Source organism: Homo sapiens, chromosome 19 (genome assembly GCF_000001405.40).
Source record: "Homo sapiens chromosome 19, GRCh38.p14 Primary Assembly".
NCBI lineage: Eukaryota > Metazoa > Chordata > Mammalia > Primates > Hominidae > Homo > Homo sapiens.
Window position 1 is genome coordinate 27,808,057 of NC_000019.10, and position 20,078 is coordinate 27,828,134.

Here is a 20,078-nt window from a genome sequence, read left to right on the forward strand (position 1 = left end):
GAATATAAGACCTCAAATTATATAAAACTACTATATATAAAAAAGTTGTGAAAAATTTTCAGGACATCAGTATGGGCAAAAATTTCTTGAGTAATACCCCACAACCATAGGCAACCTAAGCAAAAATAGACAAATGGAATCAGATCAAGGTGAAAAGCTTCTGCACAGCTAAGGAAACAATCCACAAAGAGAAGAGACAACCCACAGAATGGGAGAAAATACTTGCAAACCACTCAACTGACAAGTTAATAATCAGAATATAGAAAGAGCTCAAACAAGTCTATAGAAAAACATCTAATAATTCAATTAAAATATTGGCAAAAGATTTGAAGAGGCATTTCTCTAAAGAAAGCATACAAATGGGAAACAGGCATATAAAAGTTGAACCTCAGAGAAATGCAAATCAGAACTACAGTGAGATATTATCTCACCCCAGTTGAAATGTCTTATATCCAAAAGACAGACATTAACAAATGCTGACGAGGATGTGGAGAAAAGGGAACTTTTGTGCACTGTTGGTGGTAATGTAAGTTAGTACAACCACTATAAAAAAAACATTTTGAAGGTTTCTTAAAAAACTAAAAGTGAGCTACCATAGCTACCATGCAACCCAGCAATCCCAGTACTGGGTATATACCCAAAAGAAAGAAAATCAGCTTGTTGCTTCACTGTTTACAATAGCTATGATTTGAAAGCAAACTGTCTACCAACAGATGAATGGATTAAAAAAAATGTAGCACATATATACAATGGAGTAGTATTCAGCCATAAAAATGAGATTTTGTCTTTTGCAACAATGTGGATAAAAGTGGAGAGTATGTTAAGTGAAATAAGTCAGACACAGAAAGACAAACTTGGCATGTTCTCACTTACCTGTGGGATCTAAAAATCAAAACAATTGAACCCATGGACGTGGAGAGAAGAGGTTAGTTTTCTTAACCTCTTTGAGAGGTTAAGCAAGATAGTAGGGGCTGGCGGAAAGGTGGGGACTGTTAATGGGTACAATAAATAGAATAAATATAACCTACTATTTGGTAGCACAAGATGACTATAGTCAATAATAATTTAATTGTACATTTTATTTTATATTTTATATTTTATTTTATATATTTTATTTTATTGAGGTAGAGTCTTGCTCTTGTCACCCAGGCTGGAGTGCAATGGTGCAGTCTTGTCTCACTGCAACCTTTGCCTCCCAGGTTTAAGCAATTCTCCTGCCTCAGCCTCCTGAGTGGCTGGGATTGCAGCCACCTGCCACCATGCCCAGCTAATTTTTTGTATTTTTAGTAGAGATGGGTTTTCACCACATGCCCAGCCAATTGCACATTTTAAACTAAGAGAGAATAATTAGACTGTAAGACAAAAAATAAATGCTTAAGTGGGGGAGGGTGTATCCCATTCTCTATGATGGGAGTATTATGTATTTCATGCCTGTATCAAAACATCTCATTTATCCCCATAAATATATACACCTACTGTGTACCCACAAAAGTTAAATAAATTAAATTTAAAAAATTAAAAAATAAAATAGCATAGAATTAAGTAGGCCCAGAAATATGAGGATTTTAATGAAATGATAATACCTAAGTAATAATCAATCAAGAAGTAAAAACAAAGTCATACTTCACTCCCATTTTTGTTTCTAATCTATATGTTTTCTACTTTAAAGCTGTAGAATTTTCTTTTTTTCATTGCTAATTATATTTTAATGTGACTAGTCTGGGTCTATTTTTTCTAAAATTTTCAGTTTTTCTATATAATTTTTCTCTAACTTTTAGTTTCTTTGTTTATGCCCCTTATATTTTTGAGAAGTGTCTATTCAGATTTTTGCCCATTTTAAAACTGGATTATTTAATTATTTTCTATTGAGTTTTTTGTTTCTTTTGTATTCTGCTTATCAATCGCTTGTCGGATGTGTAGCTTGCACATATTTTCTCTCTTATCTCTTTTTTCTTTTTGAGACAGAGTCTCTCTCATCACCCAGCCTAGTGTGCAGTGGCACGATCTCAGCTCACTGCAACCTCTGCCTCCCAGATTCAAGCGATTCTCCTGCCTCAGCCTCCCAAGTAGCTGGGATTACAGGCGTGTGTCACTGCGCCCAGCTAATTTTTGTATTTTTAGTAGAAACAGGGTTTCTCCATGCTGGCCAGGCTGGTCTTAAACTCCTGACCTCAGGTGATTCACCTACCTCGGCCTCGCATAGTGCTGGGATTACAGGCATAAGCCACCATGCCCAGCCTTATTTTCTCTCATTTTAGGAATTGTCTCTTCATTTTATTGATTGTTTCCTTTGCTGTGCAGAAGTTTTTTGTATGATGTGATCTCATTTGTACATTTTACTCTCATTCCCTGTGCTTTTGAAACATTATTTAAAAATCTTTGCTCAGATCAATAACCCGCAGTGTTTTTCTAAGGTTTTTTTGTGGTAGTTTTATAGTTTCACGTATTCGATTTAAGTATTTAATCCATTTCTATTTGATTTTTGTATGGAGTGAGAGATAGGGGTCTAGTCTTATTCTTCTACCTATGGATATTCAGTTTTCCCAGCATCATTTACAGAAAAGACCATCATTTATCCAGTGTATGTTATTGGTGTCTTTGTCAAAAATGAGTTCACTACAAATGTATGAATTTTCTTCTGGATTCACTATTCTGTTCTATTGGTCTACATGTCTGTTTTAATGTCAGTACCATGCTGTTTTGGTTAGTATATCTTTACAGACTATTTTGAAGCCAAGTAGTGTGGTGGTTCCAGTTTTGTTTGGTTTTGCTTTTGCTTAAGATGCCTTTGAATATTCTTTTATGTGGTTTTATATAAATATTAGAATTTTGTTTCTACTTCTGTGAAGAATGTCATTGGTATTTTGATGGGATTGCATTAAATCTGTAAATTGATTTGGCAGTATGAACATTTTAACAACATTGATTATTTTATTTCATGCAATATAAAATACCTTTTCATTTTGTTTCATCTTCTTTAATTTCTTTAATTTATATTTTACAGATTCATTATAGAAATCTTTCCCTTATTTAGTTGTTTATTCCTACTTATTTGTAAGTATTGTAAAGAAAATTTTTTTTCAGAATGATTTCTATTGGGATATAGAAATGCTACTAATTTTTGTATGTTGGTTTTCTATCCTGCATTATTACTTAATTTCAAATCTCTCTTTAAAATACATTTTATAAGAAAGAAAGAAATAAAATTCATAGAAAAATTTTGTGACTAACACTGTCATTATTCCAAAACTTCAAAACCAAGCCAATATAAGATACATTTGGATGTAAAATTACATATAAGTATATATATATGTATATACAATATGTACATATATAATAACTGAGAAGATTTTATTTCAGAAATACAGGGCATTCCAAGAAGACAATCAGCTTATATAATTTAATAAAATAAAATAAAACAACAGCATTTATTGAGTAAATTATTGTATACCTTTGTAACATTTATAAATAACTTAAAGCTGGGCACAGTGGCTCATGACTATAATCCCAGCACTTTGGGAGGCCAAGGCAGGTGGATCACCTGAGGTCAGGAGTTAAAGGCCAGCCTGGCCAACATGGTGAAATCCCATCTCTACTACAAATACAAAATTAGCCGGGCATGGTGGTGCACACCTCTAACCCAAGCTACTTGAGAGGCTGAGGCAGTAGAAATGCTTGATCCTGGGAGGCAGAGGTTGCAGTGAGCCGAAATTGCTTCATTGCACTTGAGCCTGGGCAACAACAGTGAAACTCCATTGAGTATAAATGGATAATAATAATAATTAATGATAATCACATTATTATTATAACTTAGAAAAATACTCTACTAGTGAACATTTCAATTATTAATGATAACAATGCATCAGTATATAAGAATAAAATATAAATGACCAATGAGCACATAGATGCTTAGCATCTCTTTTCATTAGAAAAATGCAAATCAAAACCACAATTAAATGTCAGTTTACACGCACTAGGATAGGTATATTCAAGAAAAGAAATAAATGTGGATGAGAATGTGGAGAAATTAGAACCCTCATACCGTGCTGATGGCATGGTAAAATAATACAGCCATTTTGGAAAATATTTTGGCAGGTCCTCCACAGGTTAAGATAGAGTTACCATATAGCTCAGCAATTCTACTCCTGAGTATATACCAAACAGAAATAAAAGCATATGCCTACACAAAAACTTTGTATTATGTTTATAGGAGCATTGTTATAAATAGCCATAAAGTAGGTATGACCCAAATATCTATGGGTGAATAACCAAATAAAGAAAATATGGTATTATCTATACAATGGAATATTAGCCATAAAAATAAATACAGTCCTATGATATGTGTTACAACATGGATAAATAATAAAAACATATGCTAAATGAGAAAAAAAACAAAGAAAAAAGTTCACATATTTCTATAAAATGACTAGAATAGACAACTAAAGATAGAAAGTGGATTAGTCGTTACCAGGGAAATTGGGTGGGAGAATAAGAAATGACTGCTTGATGGATATGGAGTTCTTTTGTGAAAGGGTGATGAAACTATTTTGGAATTTGATAGTGGTGACAGTTGTGTAGCATTGTAAATAGACTGAAAAACACTGAATTTTACACTTTAAATCGGTTAATACATTGAACTCTATGTTATGTAAATTTTAGCTGACTGAAACAATTTAACAAACAAAGAAAAATAGACTATGAAACAAGAGAACAACTGAGGGAGCCCTACAGGCTCCAGGACAATGTGGGGGGCCTCAGAAGCCTTCTGTGCTTCCTGTTTGCCTCCACTATTCTGAGGTATCCAGTTAACTCCCCAGGCCTCCTCATCCCAGCCTGGAAAATGACTTTAGCTCCACTCAAAAAAACAAACAAACAAACCAAAGCTCTGACAGGGATGGTCTTGTCCTTGGGCCTCGGAGCAGTGGTCTGATGCTCTGCCACATTCTACAGTAGCCTGTGTGCTCAGTCCCACAAACCCCCAGGCCACTTTCTGCTCTGAAAGACCTTCAGAGGATACAGAGCAATTTCCAAGGTCAGCTCACTTCTTTAAGCCTTTGAAATTTAGGGGCCACCCAGGTCAATTATGTCAGTTTATAGAGAAAAAAAAATAAGGTTTTCACTACTGTATTCCTCTCCATACTGGGTATAGGGGGATTCTTCCTAATTTTAATTATGCACAGCAATGAATGCAGAAAACAAGTTTTTGTCCTCTGAAGGCTATCCTGGGGATGGCCACAGCCCAGGCAAATCCATGGGAACCTTGAGGTTCCCAAGCCATTGGCCTGTTATCTTTTCCCACCCCCGTGTTATGGGTCTTGGGCATGTTACCAGGAGATGGGGTGCCCCTACCTTATGGCAAAGCTGCCCCGATCCTCTCTTTCCTTTCTTCTTGTCACTCCATCAGTATTAACTCATCTTCTGATCTTTAACCTGAGAAGTCTGTGTGTGTTTTTTTGTGTGTGTGCGCACATGTGTGTTTATGCCCAAACCTGTACGCGTCTAATGGTGCAGACGTGAGATTGCATCATATGATGAGAAAATTGGCAGGAATCCCCAGGATTTCAGGGATTCATTCCCAAAGCAAACCCCGTGAGAGAGTTGAGCCCTGGCCTAGGATGTCAGAATGCTCTTTTATTCTCTGGACTCTGCCCACTTTATGTTCTCTCCATATCCCAGTTTCTTCTCTCCATATCCTGGAGAGAAGTCTCGGCTTCTCTCCAGATCCCAGTTTTCCAATTATCCAGTGAGGTGTTAGATGTCAAAGCGCTTAAGCCACAACTCAGCATGCACATGGTCCAAGCTGCCTGCCAACTAGGATGGATGTAGCAGGGCTGTGATCAGGGTGTGCCCAGATCTTCCTTACTCGAGCAGAAGTAGATGGGTTCTGCAGTGGGCAGCTGGACCTTCTGTCCAAGAAGGGTCGTGCACACAGGATCTTTAAAGGCCCACAGACAATGGGTGCATGTGAGCCCCACCTCCATCCCCCAACAGCTTCCCATGGAGCATACCAATTTTTCCCCTGTCCTCTGCATCTGGAAGGTGGTGACATCCTCACTGAACACATAGACTGATGGACCCTTCATGGTGGAGTAGTCCCACGAAGAGAATCTGGGATGCTATTAACTGTACAAGGGACTATGGATGTGGGCCATGTGAAAACACTAGAACTTCAGAATTAAATCTTCCTCACTGCAGCCTGTGGGGAAAAGAAAGAGAGATCAGACTGTTACTGTGTCTATGTAGAAAGAAGTAGACATAAGAGACTCCATTTTGTTCTGTACTAAGAGAAATTCTTCTGCCTTGAGATGCTGTTAATCTGTAACCCTAGCCCCAACCCTGTGCTTGCAGAGACATGTGCTGTGTTGACTCAAGGTTTAATGGATTTAGGGCTATGCAGGATGTGCTTTGTTAAAAAAGTGCTTGATGAGTTCATGTCCTTTGTATGGACATGGGTGAAACTGGAAACCATCATTCTCAGCAAACTATCACAAGGACGAAAAACCAAACACCGCATGTTCTCATTCATAGGTGGGAATTGAACAATGAGAACACATGGACACAGGAAGGGGAACATCACTCACCGGGGACTGTTGTGGGGTGGGGGGAGAGGTGAGGGATAGCATTAGGAGATACACCTAATGCTAAATGATGAGTTAATGGGCGCAGCACACCAACATGGCACATGTATACATATGTAACAAACCTGCACCTTGTGCACATGTACCCTAAAACTTAAAGTATAGTAATAAAAAAAAAGTGCTTGAAGCCAGTATGCTTGTTAAAAGTCATCACCATTCTCTAATCTTAAGTACCCAGGGACACAATACACTGCGGAAGGCCACAGGGACCTCTGCCTAGGAAAGCCAGGTATTGTCCAAGTTTTCTCCCCATGTGATAGCATGAGATATGGCCTCATGGGAAGGGAAAGACCTGACCATCCCCCAGCCTGACACCCGTAAAGTGTCTGTGCTGAGGAGGATTAGTAAAAGAGGAAGACCTCTTTGCAGTTGAGATAAGAGGAAGGCATCTGTCTCCTGCTTGTCCCTGGGCAATGGAATGTCTCGGTGTAAAACCTGATTGTATGTTCTATTTCCTGAGATAGGAGAAAACCAGCCTTAGGGCTGGAGGTGAGACATGCTAGCGGCAGTACTGCTCTTTAATGCATCAAGATGTTTGTGTACGTGCACATCAAAGCACAGCACCTTTCCTTAAACACAGAGATCTTTGTTCACATGTTTTCCTGCTGACCCTCTCCTCACTATTACCCTATTGTCCTGCCACATGCCCCTCTCTGAGATGGTAGAGATAATGAACAATAAATACTGTGGGAGCTCAGAGACCAGTGCTGGTGCAGGTCCTCCTTATGTTGAGCACCGGTCCCCTGGGCCCACTTTTCTTTCTCTATACTTTGTCTCTGTCTCTTATTTCTTTTCTCAGTCTCTCATTCCACCTGACAAGAAACACCTACAGGTGCGGAAGGGCAGGCCACCCCTTCACAGCCTTCCACCACTATACAGATAGGAGAATGTCTTAGGAAGGAGACATGTATTATCCAAGATTATACAAGGATTCCATGGCAAAGCTAGCACTTTGGTTAGGATTACATTTGCCCACATATAGAAGAAAACCCAATATAATAGTAGTGCAGACCAGAGAGAAAATGCTTTCTTTCTCATAAATAAGAATCCTAGAGCTGGGCAGTGCATGTTGACTCTGATCTGTGCATCAAGGCAGTCAAAAATAATCTATCTTTTTGCTAATTTTTTTCTTTTTTTAACTTTTATTTTAAGTTTAGGGGTACATGTGCAGGATGTGCAAGTTTGTTACATATGTAAATATGTGTCATGAAGGTTGATTGTACAGATTATTTTATCACCCAGTCATTAAGCCTACTCTCCACTAGTTATTTTTTCTGCTTCTCTCCCTCCTCTCACCCTCCAACTCCTGATAGGCCCCAGTGTGTGTTGTTCCCTTCTCTGTGTCTGGGTGTTCTCATCATCTAGCTCCCACTTATAAGTGAGAACATGTGGTATCTGGCTTTCTGTTCCTGTGTTAGTTTACTAAGGAAAATGGTCTCCAGCTCCATCCATCCATGTCCCTACAAAGGACATGATCCTGTTCCTTTTTGTGGCTGCATAGTACTCCATGGTGTATGTGTAATACATTTTCTTCATCCAGTCTATTATTGACGAACATGTGGGTTGATTCAATGTCTTTGCTATTGTGAATAGGGCAGCAATAAATGTGTGCATGCATATGTCTTCATAACAGAATGACATATTCCTTTGGGTATATACTCAGTACTAAGGTTGCTGAGTCAAAGGGTATTTTTTTCTTTAGGTCTTTGAAGAATCACCACACAGTCTTCCACAATGGTTGAACTCATTTACACTCCAATGAACAGGGTAAAAATGTTCCTTTTCTCCACAACTTTGCCAGCATCTGCTATTTTTTGACAGTTTAATAATAGCCATTTTATTGATATAAAATGGTATCTCATTGTTTTTTGGATTTGCATTTCTCTAATGATCAGTGATGTTGAACTTTTTTTCATATGCTTGTTGGCTGCATGTATGTCTTCTTTTAAGAAGTGTCTCTTCATGTCCTTTGCCCACGTTTCAATAAGGTTGTTTGATTTTTCTTGTAAATTTGAGTTCCATATAGATGCTAGAAATTGGATCTTTGTCAGATGCATGGTTTGCAAAATTTTTCTCCCATTCTATACGTTGTCTGTTTACACTGTTGATAGTTTATTTTGCTGTGCAGAACATCAGTTTATTTTGCTGTGCAGAACATCTTTAGTTTAATTAGATCCCATTTGTCAATGTTTCCTTTGCTCCAATTGCTTTCGGCATCTTCATCATAAAATATTTGCCCGTGCCTATGTCCTGAATGGTATTTCCTAGGTTGTCTTCCAAAGTTTTTATAATTTTGGGTTTTACATTTAACTTGTTAAACTATCTTGAGTTAATTTCTGTATACGGTGTTAGGAAGGAGTTCAGTTTATTTCTTTCTTTCTTTTTTAATTTTAGTTTAAGTTCCGGGATACAAGTGCAGAACATATAGGTTTGTTACATAGGTATACATGTGCCATGGTGGTTTGCTGCACCTATCAGCTCGTCATCCAGGCTTCAAGCCCCACATGCATTAGCTATTTGCCCTAATGCTCTCCCTCCCCTCACCCCCTACTGTCTGATTAGCCCCAGTGTGTGTTGTTTCCCTCCCAGTGTCCATGTGTTCTTATTGTTCAACTCACACTTATGAGTGAGAACATGCCATGTTTGGTTTTCTGTTCTTGTGTTAGTTTGCTGACAATGATGGAGGAAGGGGTTCAGTTTCAATTTTCTGCATATGGCTATCCAGTTAACCCAGCATCATTTACTGAATAGGGAGCCCTTTTTCCATTGGTTGTTTTTGTCAGGTTTGTCAAAGATCAGATAGTTGTAGGTGCGCAGTCTTATTTCTGGGTTCTCTATTCTGTTTCATTGGTCTACATGTCTGTTCTTGTACCAGCACCATACTGTTTTGGTTACTGTAGCCCCGTAGCATAGTTTGAAGTTGGGTAGCATGATGTCTCCAGCTTTGTTCTTTTTTGCTTAGGATTGTCTTGACTATTAAGGCTCTTTTTTGGTTTCATATAAATTTTAAAATAAATTTTTCTAGCTTTGTGAAAAATGTCAGTGGTAGTTTAATGGGAATAGTATTAAATCTGTAAGTTTCTTTGGGGAGCATGGCCATTTTAACAATATTAATTTTTCCTATCCATAAGCATGAAATGTTTTTCTATTTGTTTATGTCATCCCTGATTTCTTTGAGCAGTAGTTCATAGTTCTCCTTGTACAGACTTTTCACTTCCCTTGTTAGATGCATTCCTAGGTGTTTTGTTCTTTTTGTGGCAATAGTGAATGGGCGTTCATTCATGATTTTCCTCTTGGATTGACCATTGTTGGTGTATAAGAATTCTAGTGACTTTTCTTTGGAAGGCCGAGGCGTGCGGATCATGAAGTCAGGAGATTGAGACCATCCTGGCTAACACGGTGAAACCCTGTCTCTACTAAAATTACAAAAAATTAGCTGGGCGTGGTGGTGGGCACCTGTAGTCCCAGCTAGTTGGGAGGCTGAGGCAGGAGAATGGCGTGGACCTGGGAGGTGGAGCTTGCAGTGAGCCGAGATCATGCCACTGCACTCCAGCCTGGGCAACAGAGCGAGACTCCTTTTCAAAAAAAAAGAATGCTAGTGATTTTTGCATATTGATTTTGTATCTTGAGACTATGCTAAAGATGTTTATCAGCTTAAGAAGCTTTGGGGGTGAGACAATGGAGTTTTCTGGATATAAGATCATGTCATCTGCCATCAAGTGTAGTTTAACTTCCTCTGTTTTGATTTGAATGCCTTTTATTTGTTTCTCTTGCCAGTAAATTCCAATACTATCTTAAATAGGAGTGGTGAGAGAGGGCATCCTTGACTTGTGCTGGTTTTAAAGGGAAATGCTTTCAGCCTTTGCTCTTTCAGTATGATGTTGGTTGTGGGTTTGGCATATATGGCTTTTACTATTTTGAGGTATGTTTTCTCAATATCTCATTTATTGGGAGTTTTAAACATGAATGGATGTTGAATTTTATTGAAAGCTTTTTCTGCATCTATTGAGATAATCATGTCGTTTTTGTCTTTAGTTCTGTTTATGTGATGAATCACATATTGATTTGTGTAGGTTGAAACAACATTGCATCCCACGAATACAGCCTACTTGATTGTGGTGGATAAGATTTTTGATGTGCTGCTGGATTTGGATTACCAGTATTTTGTTGAGAATGTTTGCATCAGTGTTCATCAAGAATATTGGCCTGAAGTTTCTTCTTTTGTCTGCCATGTTTTGGTACCAGTATGATCTGGTCTCATAGAAAGAGTTAGGGAGAATACCTTCTGTTTCAATTTTTTGAAATAGTTTTAGTAGAAATTGTACCAGTTCTTCTTTGTATATCGGGGAGCATTCAGCTGTTAATTTTTCTGGTCCTGTGCTTTTAATGGTTGGTATGCTATTTATTGCTGCCTCAATTTCAGAGCAGTTATTTCTCTTTTGAGGGATTGAATTTCTTTCTGGTTTGTCTTGGGAGGATGTATGTGTTCAGAAATTTATCCATTTCTACTAAGATTTTTAGCTTATGTGCATAGAGTTGTTTACAATATTCTTTAATGGTTATTTTTATTTCTGTGGAGTCAGTGGTAATTTATTATTTCTGACTGTGTTTATTTGAATTTTTGATCTTTTTGAATTTGGCTACAGTAACCAAAACAGCATAGTACTGGTACCAAAACAGAGATATAGACCAATGGAACAGAACAGAGCCCTCAGAAATAATGCCACATATCTACAACTATCTGATCTTTCACAAACCTGACAAAAATAAGAAATGGGGAAAGGATTCCCTATTTAATAAATGGTGCTTGGAAAACTGGCTAGCCATATGTAGAAAGCTGAAACTGGATCCCTTCCTTACACCTTATACAAAAATTAATTCAAGATGGATTAAAGACTTAAATGTTAGACCTAAAATCATAAAAACCCTAGAAGAAAACCCAGGCAATACCATTCAGGACATAGGCATGGGCAAGGACTTCATGTCTAAAACACCAAAAGCAATGGCAACAAAAGCCAAAATTGACAAATATGATCTAATTAAACTAAAGAGCTTCTGCACAGCAAAAGAAACTACCATCAGAGTGAACAGGCAACCTACAGAATGGGAAAAAAATTTTGCAACCTCCTCATCTGACAAAGGGCTAATATCCAGAATCTACAATGAGCTCAAACAAATTTACAAGAAAAAAAAAAAAAAAACCCCATCAAAAAGTGGACGAAGGATATGAACAGACACTTCTCAAAAGAAGACATTTATGCAGCCAAAACACACATGAAAAAATGCTCATCATCCCTGGCCATCAGACAAATGCAAATCAAAACCACAATGAGATACCATCTCACACCAGTTAGAATGGCAATCATTAAAAAGTCAGGAAACAACAGGTGCTGGAGAGGATGTGGAGAAATAGGAACACTTTTACACTGTTGGTGGGACTGTAAACTAGTTCAACCATTGTGGAAGTCAGTGTGGCGATTCCTCAGGGATCTAGAACTAGAAATATCATTTGACCCAGCCATCCCATTACTGGGTATATACCCAAAGGATTATAAATCATGCTGCTATGAAGACACATGCACACATATGTTTATAGCGGCACTATTCACAATAGCAAAGACTTGGAACCAACCTAAATGTCCAACAATAGACTGGATTAAGAAAATGTGGCACATACACACATGGAATACTATGCAGCCATAAAAAATGATGAGTTCATGTCCTTTGTAGGGACATGGATGAAACTGGAAACCATCATTCTCAGCAAACTATCGCAAGGACAAAAAACCAAACACCGCATGTTCTCACTCATAGGTGGGAATTGAACAATGAGAACACATGGACATAGGAAGGGGAACATCACACACCGGGGCCTGTTATGGGATGGGTGGGTGGGGGGAGGGATAGCATTAGGAGATATACCTAACGCTAAATGACGAGTTAATGGGTGCAGCACACCAACATGGCACATGTATACATATGTAACAAACCTGCATGTTGTGCACGTGTACCCTAAAACTTAAAGTATAATAATAATAATTTTTTTTTAAAAAAAAAAGAATGTTAAATATTGGCCCTCAATCTTTTTTAGCTTGTAGAGTTTTCAGTGAGAGGTCTGCTCTTAGTCTGATGGGCTTCACTTTGTAGGTGACCTGGCCTTTCTCTCTTGCTGCCCTTAATATTTTTTTCATTTTAACTTTGGAGAATCTGATAATTATATGTTTTGAGCATGATCTTTTCATGGAGTATCCTACTGGAGTTCTCTGCATTTTCTGAATTTTAATGTTGACCTGTATAGCAAGGCTGGGGATATTCTCATGGACGATATCCTGAAATATTTTTTAAAAATTGGCTCCATTCTCCCCAGCTCTCTTAGGTATACCAATCAGTTATAAATTTGGTCTCTTTAGATAATCCCATATTGCTCACAGGTTTTGTTCATTCCTTTTGATTCTCTTTTTTCTATTCTTGTCTGCCTGTCTTATTTCAGAAAGACAGTCTTCAAGAGCTGAGATTCTCCCATGTTCTTGGTCTATTCTGATATTAATATTTGTGATTGCATTATGAAATTACTGTATTGTGTTTTTCAGCTCTATCAGGTTGCTTAGATTCTTCTCTATCCAGGCTAATTTGTTTGTCAGCTTTTGCAATGTTATATTGTAATTTTGAGTTTTCTTGCATTGAGTTAGAACATGCTCCTTTAGCTCAGTGAAGTTCATTTTTATCCACATTCTGGGGTCTACTTCTGTTATTTCAGCCATCTCAGCCTCAGCCCTATTCTGAACCCTTGTTGGAGAAGTAATGTTGTCATTTGGAGGAGTGAAGGCACTCTAGCTTTTTGAGTTTTTAGTATTCTTGTGCTGATCCTTTCTCACTTTTGTGTGCTTATCTACCTTTAATCTTTGAGGTTGCTGACCTTTGAATGGGATTTTTGTTTGTTTTCCTTTCAACTGTTTGGCCATGTTGTGTAGGGCTGTTGCAGTTCTTTGGGCATCTGCCCCAGTCTGTAGTCATCTAGGATTTTTCAGTATCTGGAGGTATCATTAGTGAAGGCTGTGAAACAACAAATCAGCCCACCCCTTTCTCTGGGAGGTCCATCTCAGGGGAGGTGCAGACCTGTTGCTGGCTTGAACACACCTGTAGGAGGTGACTGGAGACCCCTTTTGGGAGGTCTCACCTATCCAGGGGGAACAGGATTGGGGACCCACTTAAAGAAGCAGTCTAGCCCCACTTTCATAGAGCAGCCATGCTATGCTGGGGTACCACTTCTGCCCCTCATCAGGTTGTGCTCTCTAAAGCCTGGAGGCTGAAAAAGCTAAGTTGCTGAAACAGCAAAGTTGATGGCCCACCCCTATCTCTAGGAACTCTGTCCCAGAAAGTTTTCAAACTTCTGTTGGCCAGAGAACATCAGTGGAAGTGGCTGGAGGCCCTGGTTGGGAAGTCCCACTCAGAGATAAGGGGCATATCAGGATCCTACCTAAAGAAGCAGTCTGATCACATCATGGTAGAGCCACTGTGCTGTGCTGGGGGATTGCTTCTGCCCCCTGTATGGTTTGGGGTCTCCTAAGCCCACAGGCTGGAATGGCTGAGTTGTCCAAACAGCAAATGTGGTGGCCCACTTCTCCCACTGGACACTGCATCCAGGGAGAAAGCAAAATTCTGTCTGCTGGAGAATATGGAAGGGGCTGGCTGGAGGCCCGAGTAGGAGGCCCCACCCTGAGATGAGAAATGTGTCAGGGTCCCACTTAAACAAGCAGTCTGGCCACATTTTGGTAGAGCCACTGTGCTGTGCCAGGGCTTCCCTTCATCTGCCATCAGTTTTGCTTGGACTCTCCTAAACCCACAGGCTGGAAAGGCTGAGTCATCCAAACAGCAAGTATGGCAGTCTGCCTCTGTCTCCAGAACTTTGTCTCATCCCAGGTAGGTAAAACACTGTTACTGGGGGCTGGCTGGAATTCCAAGCCAGTGGGTCTTATCGGGTGAGGCATCATGGATGTGGGGCCCACAGACTGATGTTGTTCATCCCTGTGGTTTAGGCTTCCTTTCTGGGATTTTTATGGTGGTCCCACCTCCTGTTTTGTCCGAGTTGCAGTCACCTTTGCTGGAGATCCTGGAGCCGGAGTGTGTAAAGCTTCTGAGATTCTATTTGTCTGAGCAGTTTCTCTGGCAAGACCATGCAGCTCTGTGTGTCAGACCAAAGGCCCTGGTGAAATGGGTTCATGAGAAAATCTCCTGACCTGAGGGATAAAAAGATCCATGGGAGAAGTGTGGTTTCACAGGGTCACACATTCACTCACCACTTCCCTGGACAGGGTAGATTCCCTTCGCTCTGTGTCACTTCTAGGTGGGCAGTTGCCATGCCCTGCTCTTCTCCATTCTGCATGGGTTGAGTTGTTTCCTTCATTATTCCCAGTGCAAATACCTGGGTGTTTCAGCTGAAGGTGTTGTATTTACTCTCCTCCTTTGTTCCTTTCCATGAGAGCCACACACCATATTACTTCTAGTCAGCCATCCTGGCACCCTTTTCTGCTACAATATTTCAGTAGATGGTTTTTATCCTGTAGGCTGTCTCATGGGCCAAGATGGCTGTAGGACCGTCAGCCTACACCAGCAACCATGTGCATTTCAAAGATCAAGAAGGAGGAAAGATGCAAGGTCAAAGTGGCTCACACAGCTGTGTCAGCCTCATCTGAACAGTCTCCCCAAAGTCCCGTCAATACTTCTGGTTACACCCAATTGTCTTGAATGTTTTCTAGTCATTATTAGCTTCAATAGGGGTCAGGAACTATAACCATTGTGTATGGTAAGTTGCTGTTTGAATAAAACTGAATCTCTGTCTTTAAGAATGAAAGAAAAATAAAAACTATGGCAATAACCAGTGCTCTTTTTCTGCACTAAATTCAAAGATAACAAGGAGAAAATGGAGTTTGTCTCAGGTGAAGTGGCACTTATTTTCCAAGCAAAGCCTCTTTTGGTGTTTATTTATTTTCAGATCAGATGGGAAAAAGTCTTGGTTCTGACAAGCACTCTTTTTATGACCAAAGGTTAGTTAAGCTTAACTTAACTCTCTTCTTGACTTAGTCAACCTTGGCTTGTTGCCCTGCTCCTGGTCTGAGAAGCTTATTTTCAGAAATGCTGCTAAGATTGCTTAGTAAAAATCCACATATTTTTTACATCTACTAAAATCCTCATTCCCCTTCCCTGATATTTAAGTCCTTAGCCTGCCTGTAAACAGAATTCTGTTACAAAAAAAAATTCCTCCTCCTTTGGTATTTTATCAAATTTATTTCAGTAATTTTTTATCCACTGATTTATTTGCTTATTGATTATAAATCCTGAGTTGTCTGTGTTCAGAGTTATGATCGATTTCTGAACCGTATTACAATGGCCATAACATCTACTGCAATAGTGTTAAAGTCTTTCTTCCGAATTTTTAACAAATGTCATAATTTTTTTAATTTGACAGTTTCCCAACAGGATGTTTGAGTATAAAACCAGTTTTCAGTTCCTTCCCAAAAATGATGTCAACCACTGTGTAGTTGTATCTGCCTGACCCTTGCGTGTCTAAAAAAGTATGTTCTTATTTAAAGGGGTGAGGGTGGAAGATTATAGAGCTAACATTTTTCTAAAATGCTGAGTCATAATTGAAACCATACAAATAAAAGAGGTAGAATGCTTGGATTCCAACATTTTTAACCCTGAGGATACTTCAATGTCCATGATCCATATTACTGTGAAGATAATGCACAAAAAAGAAAACTGATGATTAAAATTGAACATGATACAACGTATCATTGACTAAAAACTAACATAAGAGAAAAATATTCTCAAAAACATTTGGGTATCCACAGTTTGACCCAGGAAAGTTGACTGGGTAGATATAATGGTCCATATAGAAAATTTATAGAAGCAGAATCTGTAAATTATGATGTGAAAAAGTCAGATAATTTTTATTTAAATATAGTGATCATGATAACAATAATTCAGTTGAATTAAAAATTAGAACAGATTAACTTGAATTTGTTATGTTCTATAAAATATAAATAATGGAGTTAAAATGTCATATATGAGTTTGCTCTGGAAAACACATTCTCAAATAAATAAAATCTGATTTTATTTGATTATTTGACTGATTTTATCTGTTTATTAAACCCATAATAAAATTATTTTGTGTGGTTCAAATTCTCTAACATAACATAGTATGGTCAAAATGAAAGGGTAAAAATTGCAAGACCGACTTAACATTTGTCATCTTAAATGTACTATAAGGATGCCTTTTAAATTAATTCAGTGATTAGGTTTTTAAGTGCATGGTTTAGGTTATACTGAAGTGTCAAATACCATCCCCGTAATTTGCAGTAGATTAACAGCATATTTTAGCACACATAACAGTGTTATTGAGTGACCAAGTTGAAAAAGCACCTCCTTTGCAAGTGGTAATTCAGGAACTCAGAGTTTTTTCATTATTTGCCTTCACCATCCATGAGTCTTGGTTGCCCTTTGTGCTCAGTCCCCTTAAAATAAAGTACTTTAAGAAATACATGTGGGAAGATTTAATGGACTCAACTTAATGTGGTTCACATCTGTCTCACTCCATCAGCATTATCAATAACTGGTCACATTTCCACATCTAAGGCAAAGGAGGTTAAGAAATGTAATTCATCTGTGCCTAACAAAAGGAAGAATAGATTTTTATGAACGACAAGAGTTTTCTGTTACAATATGTCACTCATATGGATTTACTGTGTTTCTCAAATATTTATTGAACATCTATTATAGCCAAGTACCGTGATAAGGGCTGAAGGGAGGACAGAGAGCTGAGACAGCAGAGTCCTAGTATGAGAGAAACTCACAGTCTAAGAAAATAAGAAAATACATGGTATGAAGTGCCTGCTGTCATAAGAAAGAAAAGAATAATGTGAAAAGGCTCTGAAAGTTTAGTTAATTATTCTACTTTGGGAAACTTCCTGAAGATGATAGCAAGTAAGATCCACTCTCAAAGATAAGTAAGATTTAGTTGATAGAGAAAGATGGATGCAGAAATGGTTGAGCAATGGCAGGGTGATAGGATGACAGAGGTGGCTACCATAACATGGGACAGAAAGCTTTATTAACTTGGCAGTAGGGTGGGGTAGGGTTGGAATTATCCCAAAGTCAATCCTTACTCAAAGTGAATCTTTTCACTCTGATCTCACTCATGTTGGAATAGTTCTACAAGCTCTTGTGAGACTGTATTGTACACTGTGGGAGTGAAGAACAGAGTGTGGGTGACTCCTACCTTCATAGAATTTAATATCCCATTTGTCTCAATATAGCCAGTGCCAAGAGTCATTTACATAGAAGTTTCAAATGCTTGAGAGAGACTGGCCTCTGAACTAAAAAGAGATCTCTGTCTGGACACAGGTGGAACTGTAAAATGTTCACTCTTTGTCCCCAGTTCGTTTTCATAGAATTCTTCATACCTGTTTCTATGAGGAATGAACTGGATGTGTTTGAAGACAAGCTGAAGAGCTACGTTACCTCTGTGAACAAAGTGGGGATGCTGGCTCCATTAACCCTGCAGGTGAAAAAGCTGATCAACCCCAGGTCATATTTTGTAAACATGTTTAAGGCTAAATTAAAATTTGAACATGCTCTAAGAATTTTTTTTCAATAGCCTGTTTATTTTTAATGCCTATTGGAAAAATTGAAATGAATATTTAATTTCAAATTTGGACAAAATAAAACACCAAACACTTTTTTCATTAAGATGCTAAAGAAAGTTTATTTATATCTTTTGAACTTTGTCTTAAATTCATTTGTATCTTAAAATGGAAGCTTTCTTTGAAAACTACATATTCTAGCTCACTGACATTGAATGGAAAGCTATTAACTATTCCCCAATGAGGAAGGATCTTCTAAAATGGGGCTAAAATACATGAAATAAATGGTTTCCAATAGCTCCTGCAGCTTTGCCAAGTCCATGTCAAAAAATTACATGTATGGGTTTATTTCCTGACTTTTAATTCTATTCCATTAATGTGTTTGTATTGATCTTGGATCCTACAACTTTGCAGAATTTGATTATTAGTGTTAACAGTTCTATTGTTATTAATTAGGATTTTAATTTTATGTATAAAATTATAACATCTATATATAGAAATAAGCTTTTTTCTTTTCCAATTGGAGTGTTTCTGTTTTTGTGTTGCCCAATTATTCTGGCCAGATTTCTATTACAATGTTGATCAGAAGTGAGGAATGCAGGTATCCTTGCCTTGTTCCCGATTTTAGGGGGAAAGCTTTTAATCTTTCATCACTGCATATAATGGTAGTTTTGAGTTTTTTATACGTGCCTTTTATTATGTTGAGGAAGTTTTAGTCTATATCTAGTTTACTAAGTGCTCTTATCATAAAAGAGTTTTGGATTATGCCAAATTTTTTCTCTATCAATTGACATAATCATGTTTTTTGTAAAATTCATTCTATTGAGTTGGTATATTGCACTGATTGATTGCAATTTTTAAAGAATTTGAGAAAAATTGTAGTTACAGCTTTTAATGTTTAAAACAATTTATCAGTGGAGCCATCTGGTTCCAGACTTTTCTTTGTTAGTATGTTAGTATGTTTTTGATAACTTATGCGGTCTTTTACTTATTACAAATGGTATTAGAGTTATTCAGAGAAATAGAAGCAATAGAATAAATATCTACATCTATACTATATCTTTGTGTGTGTGTTCATCTATGTATATGTGTTAATATATGAGACAGAGCCCTTTAGAGTTGTCTTGGTGGTGTCTGGGCAGGGGTCCTTCATCAGCCATCTCTGGGCTGGTTTGGAGAACCCTCTGTTCTTCCACTCACCTCATTTCAATGCTGGCCCTTTTTGGCAGCAGCAAGCTTCTGGCCTTCAAGAGAGTAAACATGGTTACCCCACTAACACCTTTTTGCCAGTCTCCTGTGTGGAGCTCTGCAAAGACAGTAACTGGTAGACAGACCTGGAAGCCTCAGAGCTATTCCTGGCCATCACTGCTGCTCCTCATACCCCACTCAACCTTCTGCTCCCCAGATTAGGCATAGACTTACGTCTACACAGAACTTCAGCCTTGGAAAGCACCAGACGACAGCTCCAGGGCTCAGAACAATCTTTGCACCAGCACTTGCCTCCCTACTTTGCCAGCCATGACCAGGTGTGTAAACATGATGAGCCACCAGGATTCTAACCTCCCAACAATCTCTTCCTGTTCAGGATGAGCCAGCCCCACATGACATTCCCCTACACACCATATTTGACATTAAATATTTATCCTTTTGTATTTGGCTTATTTTACATAGTATAACATCTTCAATGTTCATCCATGTAGCATTCTTTTTTTGAGATGGAGTCTCTCTTTGTCACCCAGGCTGGAGCGCACAGCAATGCAATCCTGACTCGCTGCTGCCTCAACTTCCCCGGGCTCAG

At 38.4% G+C, this 20,078-nt stretch overlaps 1 long non-coding RNA gene across 4 annotated transcripts in view; it reads left to right on the forward strand.

The window, feature by feature from the left end:
- LINC02987 (long intergenic non-protein coding RNA 2987) overlaps positions 1-20,078 on the forward strand; it is a 231,539-nt gene that overhangs the window by 14,626 nt on the left and 196,835 nt on the right. Inside the window, exon 3 of one of the 4 annotated variants that reach the window (NR_146736.1) lies at positions 18,076-18,355. The exons of the other annotated variants lie outside the window; for them this stretch is intronic. This is a non-coding gene — a long non-coding RNA (long intergenic non-protein coding RNA 2987). Of the gene's footprint in view, positions 1-18,075; positions 18,356-20,078 lie in introns of those variants that run through there. 4 annotated transcript variants of the gene reach the window in all.